Source organism: Homo sapiens, chromosome 20 (genome assembly GCF_000001405.40).
Source record: "Homo sapiens chromosome 20, GRCh38.p14 Primary Assembly".
In the NCBI taxonomy this organism is placed as follows: domain Eukaryota; kingdom Metazoa; phylum Chordata; class Mammalia; order Primates; family Hominidae; genus Homo; species Homo sapiens.
In genome coordinates this window covers 25,020,894-25,035,311 of record NC_000020.11, presented here as the reverse complement: position 1 = coordinate 25,035,311, position 14,418 = coordinate 25,020,894, and the positions used below count along the sequence as shown (strand labels likewise).

The following is a 14,418-nucleotide window of genomic DNA, read 5'->3' as shown; positions in this document are numbered from 1 at the left end:
GAGCAAGCCCTAGTTAAAGGGCATCTGTTACATGTATTAGGAGTTGGGAGGGTGCAGGTTAGTGACCTCATGTTGAATTTGAGCCACCTGTCAGGTATTTTAAAAATGCATATGGTCGGCCGGGTGCGGTGGCTCACACCTGTAATCCCAGCACTTCGGGAGGCCAAGGCAGGTGGATCATGAGGTCAGGAGATTGAGATCATCCTGGTGAACACTGTGAAACCCCGTCTCTACTAAAAATACAAAAAAATTAGCCAGGCGTGGTGGCGGGCACCTGTAGTCCCAGCTACTCCGGCTGGGCTGAGGCAGGAGAATGGCATGAACCCAGGGGGCGGAGCTTGCAGTGGGTGGAGATCGCGCCACTGCACTCCAGCCTCGGCAACAGAGCGAGACTCCATCTCAAAAAAAACAAAAAACAAAAAACAAAAAATCCATATGGTCGGCCTGGCGTGGTGATAGCTCATGCCTGTAATCCCAGCACTTTGGGAGGCCGAGGTGGGTGGATCTCCTGAGGTCGGGAGTTCAAGACCAGCCTGACCAACATGGAGAAACCCCGTCTCTACTAAAAATACAAAATTAGCTGGGCATGGTGGTGCATGCCTGTAATCCCAACTACTCGGGAGGCTGAGGTGGGAGAATTGTTTGAACCTGGGAGGTGGAGGTTGCAGTGAGCTGAGATCGTGCCATTGCACTCCAGCCTGGGCAACAAGAGCGAAACTCCACCTCAAAAAAAAAAAGGTTAAATATAGAATTGAGGTCAAGGGTCTGGGTACCCACATTCAGCTCTGGGCAGGCACCATGAGAATGTGGGGGTCCATTTGGAAGTCTGGGGGTGTCTACTGAGATCGAGTGCCGTCATGGAGGGCTCGACCAGAGAACCTGGGGAGGAAAAGCTTCCAAGAGGATGAGGGGCAAGGAGTATTCAGGAATTTGAAGGGCTGTCATTGAGAAATTAGATTTATTCTGGGAAGCTTTAAAGGTCTGAGGTAGGACTAAGGGGTGGAGTTTGAAGAGCTGCAAATCTTGGTCCAATTTTTGGTAGACTGTTTCCCTATTAAAGTGACAGAGATGTGGCCCCATGAGGTGAGCTCTGGCAGTGTGATGATTAAGTAGAGGCTGGACTGCTGTAGGCCAGAATGTGGCTGCCAGATTTCAGAACCTCAAGGAGGCTGCACCGCCTGACGTCCAAGGATCCTTTCCACTTCAAGGTTTATGACCTTGGCAGAGAAAATAGGAAGGGAGAGAGCTCTGAGATTTACCGGATCAAATCCTTCATCAGGAGCCCCTCCTCTGGACTCAGCAGCAAGAGTGTGAGACTCACCAGACCCTGCTTCAGCTCTTGGGCCCATGTTGAGGCCCCTCAGTCTTCCAGGGAAACCTGGTCTCTAGACCCTCCCTGGAGGCTGTCGTTTAGCTGTCCAGCTTCAATGACTGGGTGACTTCTGCCCCTATAGGGAAAATCCACTCTTCTTTCTGCCCCAGTCCTCCTCCCAACAGCCAATCTATCCAGAAAGCTCTCCCTGCTGCCCTTCCCTGCCACCCCCAGTGGCTGTACCACCAAGTTGAGCTGCTCAGTGCCCTGCACACCTTCACATGTGCCGTCATTTCCTCATCGGAGCTGTGCTCCTGGAGGACACTCTCCCTGTCAATTCCTTTCTCAAATGCAAACACCCCACTCACTCCCAAGGTGCCTAGAATGGGATTTTTAACATCTCAGGAATTCACTGAAGTGAGTTAGCTGGTTTTTGTCATTTTAGAAAACGATTTCAAACAAAGATTTCTGAGAATTTCCATCTGATGGGAAAGACGATAGCTACTGAATGTTTGGCAGAGTTCCAAGTCAGTCTTGCTTTTTATTAATACTTGTGACAGCTGTACAAGGTGGAGGGTGCTTGCTGTTTCTCAGATGGTCACATGGCAGCTCAGAAAGATAAGCTCCCATGTCTAGGCAGCTACTACAGAAAGCTACCCCAGGCCTTTCTGTAGGGACAGTCCAGTGTCCTTTCTTGGCTTCAGATTGCTGCCCTCCGTCTGCAGAACAGGGACTAAATTTCATCGCCATTTAACTGGTGAGCATAATTCAAGCCTTCATCTCTGGTAGCAGCGAGGCTTAAGCTCTCAGAGCTATGAAAACGGAATCTGGCTGAAGATGTTGAGTGACTCTGGACCACGGCTCCCTCTTCAGCCGGTCACAGGCCACCCCAGCCTCCTCCCCGGAGTAGCAGGAGTGTTTCTGAGCCCTAGATTCTGTAGAGCTTGGTGCTGGGGGTTTTCCGGGGGAGTGTTCCGTCTTTTATCATAAACCTTGGCAAGGGGTGCGTGGGTGGGGCGCCACTGAAAGGCGCCTTTGTCCTCCTTCTGAAAGCCTGAAGGGAAAACGATGAAATCCCACAGAAGAGGCCGCTGGAGCCAGGCTGGGCAGGCGTGCTGGCTGCGGGGAGAACTGCGGGCTGGCCTTGCGATCTGGTTCTCATGTGGTCCCCTCTGCAGATGGCCTTGGGAAGAAACAAAGGCCTCCTTGAGGCCCCTGCCTGTGATGCGGACAGCTCATTTTCATTCTGCTGTGGTTTCCCGGGTGGCCTCGTTGAGCTTCACTGTTCTCGGGAGCCCTTTCCTTGACTACCCTTTGAACAGAGGAGAGCTATGCAAACACGCTGCGAGCGGCCTTGAGAGCCCGAGGAGGGTCTGCTTTCTGGGCCCCTGCAGAGGGCAGGGGTCGCGGGCTGGTGGTCTGCCCCGCCCAGAGAGAAAGGGCCTTGGCTTCCCCTCATTCTTCGTTCTGTGTTAGCTCTTTTTATTGCAAATAATTAATTAAAGTCAGTACAGCAAGAGTGGGAAAGTGGTTAATGCAATTGCCAGGTCCAGATTCAGAGGGATGAGGCGCCGAAAGGAAAGACAACCTTGGGATCGCTTCCACTTCCTCCACTTCGCACCGCATGGCCGGCAAGTTGGCGGCTCTCGCCTGCTCCCAGTTTTCCCGGAGTTGAGTATGGTTGACTCTGACTGGACCAGGTTGGGTCACGTGTCGGCCCTGAGCCAATCAGCTTGCCCAGAGAGATGATGCGCCCTGAGTGGTGGGTGAACCTGGTGATAGGCCCCAGAGTGGCCAGAGAGGAAGGGCATGCGCACACCATAGACATAGGCAACGTGGTGGACGACATGGGGGCTGGGCGGGGGTGCTGCTCACCCACCTTGTGCCCAGTGCTTTCCCTTCCCCTTGTCCATGGTCCCCTAGCTTGGGGAGAAAGCAGGGTGCTTGCTCTACCCGCCAGTGCTGTCTCGGGGCTGCAGGGAGTTGTGGCTGCCCTGCTTGCGGTCTTCACTCCCAACTCACTGTGGCTTTGCAGAGCTGGAGTCCGCCCTATCTGGGCTTGGGGGTCTGCTCCCTGAGAGCATTATTTGGTGCCCCTCGACTGTGTTGATTCAGAAATCTGGGACCTGTTGTTTCTCGACTAAATGTCTTATGAGATCAGTCTTTCTTTTGGAGGCAAACATTTTCGGAAGTTTTGGAACCATGATGATCTATGCCTCAGACACTTGTGGTCCCTGAGAAGCTGCTGCTGGAAAAAGGGGTCCCCATCCGGATCCCAGGAGAGGGTTCTTGGATCATGCCGGGAAGGAATCCAAGGCGAGTGGCAGAGCGCAGTGAAAAGAGATAGTTTATTGAAAGCTTCTCAGTTACATAGTAGGGCATCCTCAGCAAGAGGAGGAATGCCTCTGTTTTGTTTCTTTCTTATATAGGGGTCTTATCTATGTAAAAGCTAAGCTATGTCTCCCTGCGGGTAGGCTGACGAAGTGACATTTATTACTTTGTTGATTGAAAGAAAGCTATCCTTGGCATTTTAGTGCATAAGTACATCAAAGCATGCCTATAATCATCTTAAAAGCATATATTATGCAATATTGGGGCATCTGGACATTCTGTTGTTGCAAGAGTTTGTCTTTGCAGGTATTAAGCTACTTCGTCAGCTGTAAACATCTTATGACTGTGGGTCATGACTGGCAAGGAATGTGCCTTGCTAGTTTTAAGATGGAATTGATTCTAAAATGGTGTCACCATGGCTCCCCTACGCTCCTGTTCCCCTAAAAAAACCCTGCCGTAAGCGGACTTAAGGATAGCCTTGTCACCCTAGCAATGTGGCAGTGAATCTCTGCCAATAGCAATCTACAAATGTTAAAAACTTTTCTTTTTCTGGAAAAGTACTTTCCATGCATTAAGTATTCAAGTGCCTGTTTTCCTGGCACTGGGCTGGATGTATATGACATAAAATTTGCAGTATTGCTCCACCCCCAAACTGCTCTGCATTTTGGCCCTCCTCCATCTCTGATGGCTTTCTCTTCCCTGTGCTGCAGGGAACTACTGGAGACCACGTGCCGCCTGGCCAACACGCTGAAGAGGCATGGAGTCCACCGTGGGGACCGTGTTGCCATCTACATGCCCGTGTCCCCATTGGCTGTGGCAGCAATGCTGGCCTGTGCCAGGATCGGAGCTGTCCACACAGTCATCTTTGCTGGCTTCAGTGCAGAGTCCTTGGCTGGGAGGATCAATGATGGTGAGGAGGTGGGCATGGGGAGGGAGGAACCCTGGAGTTCCCTGATCCTTGTTCCTGGGGGCCTGGCCATCAGTGTAGAGACCATCAGAGTGCAGACATTAATGTCACACAGACAAATGACAGATCGTACTAGGGACAGGCACATGGCCGAATGAGAATTTGTTCTGTGGGCTGAGATCTGAGTGCATTGGATTTAGCCAGGTGAAAAAGGGACAGTTCCAGTTGGAGGGAACAGCAGAGGCACAGGCCAAGTGGAGGAGGAGCACAGCATGAGGGCCTAGTGCAGGTGGGTGTAGTGCGGCAGGAGGGAAGTGTGGAGGTGGGATAAGGCTGGAGATGCACAGGGAAGGTTCCACAGGTCAACAACTGGAAGGCTTCTATCCTGAGGAGTGAAGGTGTGGACCATATTTGGGGATCTGGAGTCAGGTGAAGGGGGTCTTTCTGTCTGCATGTGGGTCAGTGTGTTTTGGACATTGTGCAGAACAATAACTTCCTTGTTTTGCTGTTGTCAAAGGACTGAGTGTCTGGATGGTGGCCCTATGTCCATGCAGTCTGATCTCTGCACCCTGCTGTCTCCTAGAGGGAGTCCCTGAGCTGGCTTCGCAAGGCAGGTGCCAGGTTCTAGGTGCCATTGAGAATTCTTGTGCCTCATAGAAAATAGAACTAATGGGTAGAGTTCTCAGACTCCTGTTGACCTCCCTCTGTATAAAAGGCTGGGAAGCCCTTCCGCTTCCTTTCAGAGTTTCTTCCCCCACGTTCAAGGGTGATGCTGCTACCTCTTTCTCTTTTTCTTCCTCTCTCTAGAACTCTGTAATACCAACTGTGTACCAGGCACTGTTCTAAGCACTCTACAAAGGTTATGTCCTTTAATTTACCTTACTCTTCATAAGTATTTTATGCAATAATACTATTATTATTCCCCTCCCCTAAAATTACTGTTGTAACCATCTTAAAGTGTACAATTCAGTCACATTAAGTACATTCACAGTGTTATGCAGTCATCATCAGTATCTAGTACCTGAAGTTTTTCATCACTCAAAATGTACACTTTACACCCATTAAGCAGACATTCTCCATTCATCCATGTTGTGGCATGTATCGGTATTTCATATTTTTAATAGGTGAATAATATGCATTCATTGATGGCCATTTGGGTTGTTTCCATTTTTTGGCTATTGTGAATAGAGCTGTTATGAATGTTCATGTATAGGAACACCTGTTTTTAATTTTGGGGGTATATACCTATGAGTGGGCTTGCTGACTCATGTGGTAATTCCATGTTTAACTTATCAAAGAACTGTAAAACTGTTTTGCTAAGGAGATGCACCATTTTACATTTCCACTAATAGTGTATGCAGGCTCCAGTTTCTCTGCATCTTGTTGTTTTTCACTTTAAAAAATTACAGCCGTCATAGTAAGAATGAAGTTGTATCTCATTGTGGTTTTGATTTGCATTTCCCTAATGACTAATAATATTGAACATCTTTTATGTACTTGTTGGCCATTTGTATGTTTTCACTGGACAAAGTCTACTTAAGCTGTTTGCCCATATTTTAATTGCTTGCTTGTCTTTTTGTTGTTGAGTATGTAAGTTACTTATATATTCTGAATATTAGACCTCTATCAGATATATGATTTGCAAATATTCTCCCATTCTGTGGGTGGTCTTTTCACTTTCTCAGTAGTAAACTTTGGTGTATAAAAGTTTTAAATTTTAATGGAGTCTAATTTATCTATTTTTTATTTTGTTGCTTGTGTCTTTGCTGTATTATTTGAGAAAACATTGCCAAATCTAATGCTGTGAAGATTTTTTCCTATGTTTTCTTTTTTTTTTCTTTTTGAGATGGATTCTCGCTCTGTTGCCAGGCTGGAGTGCAGGGGCATGATCTCAGCTCACTGCAACCTCCGCCTCCTGGGTTCAAGTGATTCTCCTACCTCAGCCTCCCGAGTAGCTGGGATTACAGGCACGTGCCACTGCATCGAGCTAATTTTTGTAGTTTTAGTAGAAACAGGATTTCACCATGTTGACCAGGATGGTCTCGATCTCTTGACCTCGTGATCCGCCCGCCTCGGCCTCCCTGTTCGTATGTTTTCTTCAAAGAATTTAAGTTTTACCTTTTTACATTTAGATCTTTAATTTTGAGTTGATTTTTGTACAGGGTGTGAGGTAAGGGTCCAGTTTCATTCTTTGTCCTATGGCTATCCAGTGGTCCCAGCGCCATTTGCTAAAGAGGCTGTTCTTTTCCCTGTTAAATGGACTTGGTACTCTTGTTGAAAATAATTTGACCATATATGTGAGGGATTATTTCTGGGCTCTCTATCCTATTCCATTTATCCATATGATTACCTATGTATCTATTATTATCTCAGTATCAAACTGTTTTGACACTGTAGCTTTGTAAGTTTTAAAACCAGGAAGCGTGAGTCTCCCAACTTTGTTCTTCTTTTTTCAAGATTGTTTTGGCTCTTCTTGCTTTCTTGTATTTTCATAGGAATTTTAGGATTAGCTTTTCCATTTCTGCAAAAAAAGATGTTGGGATTTTGATTGCATTCAATCTGTAGAAAAATTGGAAGGTATTGCCATATTGACAATATTAATCCACAAACATGGGATATCTTTCCATTTATTTAAGTATTTTAAAATTTCTTTCAACAATATTTTGTGGTATTCAGTGTACAAGTCTTGCATATCCTAGGCTAAATTTATTCCTAAGTATCTTATTCTTTTATGAATTTTTATAAATGGAATTGTTTTCCTAATTTCCTTTACAGATTGTTCATTGCTAATATGTAGAGATACAGCAATTTTTGCATAGTGATCTTGTATATTGCAAATTTAATGATTTATTAGCTCTAATAAATAGTTTTTTTGTGGATTCATTAGGATTTATACATAGTAGATCATATCATCTCTGAATATAGTTTTACTTCTTCTTTTCCAATTTGGATGTCTTTTATTTCTTTTTTTTTTTTTTTTTTGCCTGATCACTCTGGCAACAACTTTGTTTACAATGTTGAATTGCAGTGGTGAAAAGTGGGCATCCTTGTTTTGTTCCTGATCTTAGGGGGAAGGCTTCAGTCTTTTACCATTAATATGATGTTAGCTGTGGGTTTTCAGATGCTCTTTATCCATTAAGTTCCCTTCTATTCCTAGTTTTAAGTGTTTGATCATCAAAGGGTGTTGGATTTTGTCAAATGCTTGCTCTGCGTCAATTGAGATGTGTTTTTTCCTTCATTGTAGTAGTGTGATGTATTACAGTGATTAATTGTTGCATGTTGAACCACCCTTCCTTTCCTAGGGTAAGTCCTGATTGGTCATAGTATATTCTGTTAATATGCTGCTGGATACAGTTTGCTAGCATTTTGTGGAAGAGTTTTGTATCATTGTTTATATGAGATATTTGTCTGTAGTTTTCTTTTCTATAGTAATCTTTGTCTGGCTTTAGTATCAGGGTAATGCTGGCCTCATAAAATGAATTTGAAAGTATCTCCTCTTCAATTTTTTGGAAGAGTTTGAGAAGGATTGGTGCTAATTCTTTAAATATTTCATAGAATTCACCAGTGAAGTCATCTGGTTCTGGTCTTTAGAAAGGGAAGAAGATGGGTAAACTGAGACACAGAGAGTTTAAGTGACTTACCTAAGGTCACATACCTAGTAAGTGACAGAGCCAGGAGTTGAACACAGACATTCTGCTGCCATAGTTGATGCTTTCAGCATTATGCTAAGCTGCCCCTTTTCTCTCTTGCTGGTGTGGCCATGGTCACCCAGTGCTTCTGTTGAGATTGTTTGAAACAAGCAATAGCAGTTGACTCTTGGTGACTTCATCATGTGGGGATTTAGTAGCTGGATGCTGGGGCAGCTCCCAGAACCTCAGAATTCCTAAACAACCAAGCATGGGAGGGCAGGGGCCATGACTCTGTCCTGAAGAGGACTCTGCCCTGATATCCTTCAGCCTTTTTGTGCAGCTCTGCAGGTACCAGGTTCCTGGGGACAAGATTCTGTTGAGATGGGTATCTGTGTCCTGTTGGGTCAATGAGGGGCTGTTTTGGTTTTCTATTGCTGTGTCACAAACTACTCCAAAACTTAGTGTTTAATAAAACTGAAAACAATAAATTTTAGTATTCTATTTCATGGGTCTGTGGGACAGGAATCAGATGGGGACAGGGGAATGGCTGTTTTCTGCTCCATGACATCTGGGACATTAGTCAGGTTGACTTGAAGGGTTGGGGACTGGTGGGCCTGTCTTTCTCTCCACGTGGCCTCTTCACATGGCTGACTTGGGCTTCCTCATAGCCTTGCAGCCTTAGCAGTCAGGCTTGTCACATGGCAGCACATGGCTCCAAGAGGAAGGAAATAGCAACTGCCAGTGTCCTACAGTCCAGGCTGGCACAGGCCTGGCATCACTCTTGCCTTACTAGATTGGCCGAACCAGTCCGTGGCCATTCTAGATTCAAGGGGAGGAGACCTGGATCCTGCTTCTCTATAAGAGCAGGTGAAAGAATGTGCAGCCATCTTCAGTTGGCCACTGGGAGGTGGGTGTATATTGTGAGTCTGACCGCTAGGCTCTCACATGTCTGGGCAGCCACCTTAGTCAGCAGGTGCAGTTCCAGAGTTCAGTCCCCTGGCCTGGCTTCCAGGGTTGGACCATCCCTCTTCATTTGTCTTCCCTCTTGCTTTAGGCTGCTTGAGGAGTGGAGAGTGTTGCAGGGGAGGGTAGAGGTCAGGAGAATGGCTTTGAGAGAGACTGTGGGGGTAGAATAATGACCCACTCAGATGGCCACACTGTAATCCCCCAGAAGCTGTGCTATGTCACTTGCATGGTGAAAGACTTTGCACATATGAATAAGGCAATAGGATATCCAGGTGGGCTCCATCTAATCCCACATCCTTAATGCACAGAACTTGCTCCAACTAGAGGCAGAGGAAGTGAAGCAGAAGGGGAGGTCAGAGAGATTCAAAGCAACTTTACCCGCCGTTGCTGGCTTTGAAGATAAACAGGGCCACGAACCAGGGCAGGTGGTGGCTGTAGTCGCTGAGAATGACCCCTGGCTGACAGTCAGCAAGGAAAAGGCGACCTTAATCCCTCAGTCGCGTGGAACTGAGTTCTGCCAACCACTGAAATGGCCTGGAGGTGGATACTCCCCCAGAGCCACCACATAGGAGCCAGCCCTGTCCTTGACTTTGGCCTTGTGAGACTCTAACAGAGAACCCCACCAAGCCTGTCCAGACGACAGAACTCTGAGCTAAAAATGAGTGTTCTGAGCCACTAAGTTTGTGGTCATTTGTTATGGAAGCAGCAGAAAATGAACGCAGATGCTGGTACCTGCTCAAAACCAGGGAGAGAAAATTGAATCCTCCCAGAGTGGCATGTGGTTCCTGCCAGCACCCATGCTGTGGCCCAGCCTTGGAGGGCGCCAGTGGGCCAGACATGCTCATGGTGCTCAGAAGCTCCTGGGTACTTCCTAGAGGACCTCCTGGAGAGCCTACTGGGCAGGGAGGCCCTGGACAGGTGCGAGTCAGGAGTGAGGTGTGCGCCTTGGGAGGTGGGGAAGGAACTGCCTGCTGTGTAGTGTGATTTCAGCATGTTGCATGGGCTGGGGTCATTGTATCGTGAGAGCTTCTGACCCCCATGAGCTTTCTTTGTCTCCCGTCCCCTTGAGAAAGGTTCATTCCTTCCTGCTGGTCCATCTCCCTTCCTCGCCCATAGGGGGCTTACCTGGACCAACCCCTGCTTGGGGATGTAGGTCTGGAAAGTCTCTGATAGGCTCCACCCAACTGACTTGGTTTCCCCAGGTGAGCTATCGCTGAGGCTTGAAGGCCAAAGAGTGTGTGTAGCCACGGCTCTTGGTGCCAGATGCAGGGGTGGCTGCATCTGGGCAGGTCTAGGGTATCTCTCTGACCCCCGGATGGTGCTGTGTGTGCTGGAAAATTCTCAGGGAACCCTCATGGCCATGACATCTCCAGGGCTCTTAGGAGGAGAAAGGGTGGGCCTGTTGTGCAAAAGTGCTTTCAGATTTATTTAGGTAGGACTCTCCCAGAGGGGACATTGAGGCCAGAGTCTGTCTTGGAAGTGTGGTAGGGCAGTGGTGGCTCTGGACGGGAATGTGGCACACATGCCTCAAATGGCTCCATGCAAAGGGTAGGGAGTTGCAGGATTTGTACCCCAATTATGGAGAGCCATTGGTCGAGGGTTCCCCAGCACTTCTGCCCATAGCTCTGCAAGAGGCCTTTGGTGCAGAATGACTGAAAGGCCCAAGGGATGTGGGTGAGGCCCTGCCAGTCAGGGTCACAGCTGGGCATTTGTCCCAGGCTCTTCCTGAGGGGCTGTGTAGTAACCCCCCGCAGCTGTGATCCCTCTGGGTCATCCCGCACTGGGGCACAGCGTGGAGGACACCTCCTTTTCCTGGGGTCTTGAGGCCCACTGTGCGTGCACCCCTCTTCTCTGCTCTGGGCCTACCCCTAGGTTAGCCATGGAAGCTAGGGTCCTCCTGGCTTCCCCCTGGGCCTGGCTGAGCAACATTGGTCATTGAAGAGCAGGTGTGGGATCAGGAGGGCCTTCTCCTGAAGGTAAGGTGGGCAGGCAGCTCCCAGTCATCCACTGGGGTGTGGTTTCTGATCTCTGGACAGTGAAGGCTCTTGGCCCACACAAGTCACTCTAGACAGGGCCTGGCCACATGGGACACCTTTGGGCTTGGCCTCTGGTTGTCCAGCTTTCTTGTTCTCTGCCTCTCGGTATTTCTCTGTCACCTTGATTGCTGCAGGTGGCATGATGGCCTCTTTCCTGGGGTTTGCTCCTGGGCAGACAGGAGAGAAAGGTGGAAGTCTGGTTGGGAAATTGTCTTTATGCTGCTGACTCAAGGAGGAAGAGCTGAGCTTCAAAGTAATTTATCTCTGGTTCCTTCCCCTCAGCCTCAGAACTGGACAAAGGCCTGGTGCTTCTTCATGGCACACAAAGGCTGGAGAGCAGGCAGCCCCTCACTTTTTCCATTGAGTCTTTTACTCAAGATTGGACTGAGTTTCTCACACTCCTAGGCCTGGATGTCCTATGTGAGTCAGAGCTATGAGGGTTAAAGTCGGGAGGAGACTGATCAGAAATGTCTGTGTTGTCTCTGTTAGCCAAGTGCAAGGTGGTTATCACCTTCAACCAAGGACTCCGGGGTGGGCGCGTGGTGGAGCTGAAGAAAATAGTGGATGAGGCTGTGAAGCACTGCCCCACCGTGCAGCATGTCCTGGTGGCTCACAGGACAGACAACAAGGTCCACATGGGGGATCTGGACGTCCCGCTGGAGCAGGTGGGTTACCTCGCTTTGCACAGTTTGAGGCGAGGTCATATCAAGTTAGCTGGCTCTGAGGCTTCTCGGGTTGTGGTTCTCAATTTGGGTTCCCTAGAGGTGCCCAGGGTTCCTCTGTGGTATTTGGTGAGCTTGAGTCCTGACTGGGAAGATAAAACTCCTATACGACAAGCATGTTGGAACACTTACTGTAACACAAATGCTTGCACCCACGCTTTTGTTTTGTGTCCTTTCCACATTTGGAATTGAACTTGGACAGGTCAGAGCAGGTGAATTCTGAATCCTGTGTGTGGAGTCCTGCTGCGGAGGGGGAGTGCTGCTCTCAGAGAGGCTGAGTGCCCTCGGTGGGCTGTTTGTTTCTTCTCCCTGCCAGGAAATGGCCAAGGAGGACCCTGTTTGCGCCCCAGAGAGCATGGGCAGTGAGGACATGCTCTTCATGCTGTACACCTCAGGGAGCACCGGAATGCCCAAGGGCATCGTCCATACCCAGGCAGGCTACCTGCTCTATGCCGCCCTGACTCACAAGGTACAGGCCTGTGCGGGCGGTGCTGGGCCCTTGGCAGGGATCCAGGCAGGGGCAGGGCTGGAAGTCCTCCTGCTGCAGAGCGAGGCCTGTAGGTGTGAGAGGTCAGTGTTTCTTCCTGGCCTATTCGGGGCAGGGCCCCCTCGAGTCCTCCCACCCTACAGCTCCTCAGGGCCCTGGCTGCCTCAAGCCCCCACTGCACTGTCTGGAAACTCCCAGATAATCTGATCATGTAACGCGGCAGCAGGACACTAAGGGCCATTCGCCCAAAGATTTTTAAAAACTCTTTTTAGAACAGATAGAGAAAACCACCCAAATTAAATGCATGGCTTAATGAATTATTATAAGGCAAATGCCACTTTGATCAAGAAGTGGAAGGCCACCGGTTTCTCAGAAGCCCCTTCCAGGCCCATATGGCCACAGCCCCGTCCAGCATGTCTTGATGTGTCTTGTGCGCCTGCCCTGTTTTTATTTTGATAGTTTTGTGACCCATATGAGCATCCGTGGGCACTGTAGCTTACTGTTGCCAATTAAAATATTGTTTTTTCTTTTGTTTTGTTTTGTTTTGTTTTGTTTTGTTTTTTCATGGAGTCTCACTCTGTTGTCCAGGTTAGAGTGCAGTGGTGTGATCTCAGATCACTGCAACCTTTGCCTCCTGGGTTCAAGTGACTCTCCTGTCTCAGCTTTCTGAGTAGCTGGGATTACAGGCACCTGCCACCACACCCTGCTAATTTTTTTTTGTATTTTTAGTAGAGACAGGGTTTTGCCATGTTGGTCAGGCTGGTCTTGAACTTCTGACCTCAAGTGATCTGCCCGCCTTGGCCTCTCCAAGTGCTGGAATTACAGGTGTGAGCCACCGTGTCCGGCCTAAAATATTGTTGATATGTGTTTTAAGTCTTTTTAAGCCTATGCTCCCCCATTTCCTTACACTTGGCCATAGTCACATCCAGCCATTTTTCTCTGGTGTCCTTTGGTCTGGGTTGTGCCTGTTGTCCCTCTGCCTCTGTGTTTCCTGCACGTGGGCAGTTAGATCCTGAGATGGGATCAGGCTCCACTCAGTTGCTGTGGAAGAATAAAGGGGATTCGGATGTCTGTCCTCTCATGCTCCTCGAAGCTGATGATGCTTGATGCCATTCTTGGCCTTTTTTGCTTTTATTTTTTGTAGTTCTTAAGGGGTTTAAAAAATCGTGGCATAAGGTAATGCAAAAAGGTGTCCATGTGTTAAACGTACAACTAGACGGACTCTGCAGTGTGCCCACCTGTCCTGCTGCTGGAGGCCATTTGAGGAGCCAGCTGCCTCTCACAGCTATGGACTGCAGCCTATGCATGCCTATTTCCTAGTGACCTGGTGTGAACATGGTGGAGTGGGGGGACAAGCTCCTGATGCTCCTTTCCTGTCTCTGCAGCTTGTGTTTGACCACCAGCCAGGTGACATCTTTGGCTGTGTGGCCGACATCGGTTGGATTACAGGACACAGCTACGTGGTGTATGGGCCTCTCTGCAATGGTGCCACCAGCGTCCTTTTTGAGAGCACCCCAGTTTATCCCAATGCTGGTAAGGATGGTGAACCCTGTTTGGGACCCCATGCTGGTGTCAGGGGAGAGAGCCTGAGGCTCGAGGCTTGTGGAGAGGTTCATGGAAGGGGGACGCCTGGGTTCTGGTGAGGGTGTGGCTCTCCAGGTCCTGCTGTCGAAATGCCCGGTGGGGCCAGGCCCCAGGTCTTCAGAAAGATCTGACAGGCAGCAGCAGGGAGTCTGACTTGGTGCTGGAGGACATCTCAAGGCCCCTGCTCCTGCACTCCTGCCCTCTGACTTAAACTGCCGGCCTCAGGCCATCGCTTTGGCATCCTTCTCACCTCTAGGCTGCTTGCCCAGATCCAGCCCTTTCTCAAAGCCAGGGCCAGCTGCCCGCCACTTCTGTGTCCCCAGCCCTGCCCCTGAGCCTTCAGGGCTGTCCCTCAAACCATGTTAGGCATGGCCTAGAACCATCTCCATTAAATTGAGATCACTTTGAAGACAAGGTGATGACTGGCTCCCTTGGGCATCGTCC

The 14,418-nt window shown here is 48.9% G+C and overlaps 1 protein-coding gene across 7 annotated transcripts in view; it reads left to right on the top strand.

Annotated features, from left to right (window-relative positions):
• The window catches only part of ACSS1 (acyl-CoA synthetase short chain family member 1), a 51,903-nt gene that overhangs the window by 22,828 nt on the left and 14,657 nt on the right, over positions 1 to 14,418 (top strand). For 4 of the 7 annotated variants that reach the window (NM_001252675.2, NM_001252677.2, NM_032501.4 and 1 more), the window contains exons 3-6: positions 4,354 to 4,553; positions 11,671 to 11,846; positions 12,220 to 12,372; positions 13,776 to 13,923. In NM_001252675.2, the coding sequence (NP_001239604.1) occupies positions 4,354 to 4,553; positions 11,671 to 11,846; positions 12,220 to 12,372; positions 13,776 to 13,923 (677 nt within the window). Of the gene's footprint in view, positions 1 to 2,605; positions 2,944 to 4,353; positions 4,554 to 11,670; positions 11,847 to 12,219; positions 12,373 to 13,775; positions 13,924 to 14,418 lie in introns of those variants that run through there. The other 3 variants (NM_001252676.2, XM_047440557.1, XM_006723659.2) reach the window with 3 other exon arrangements.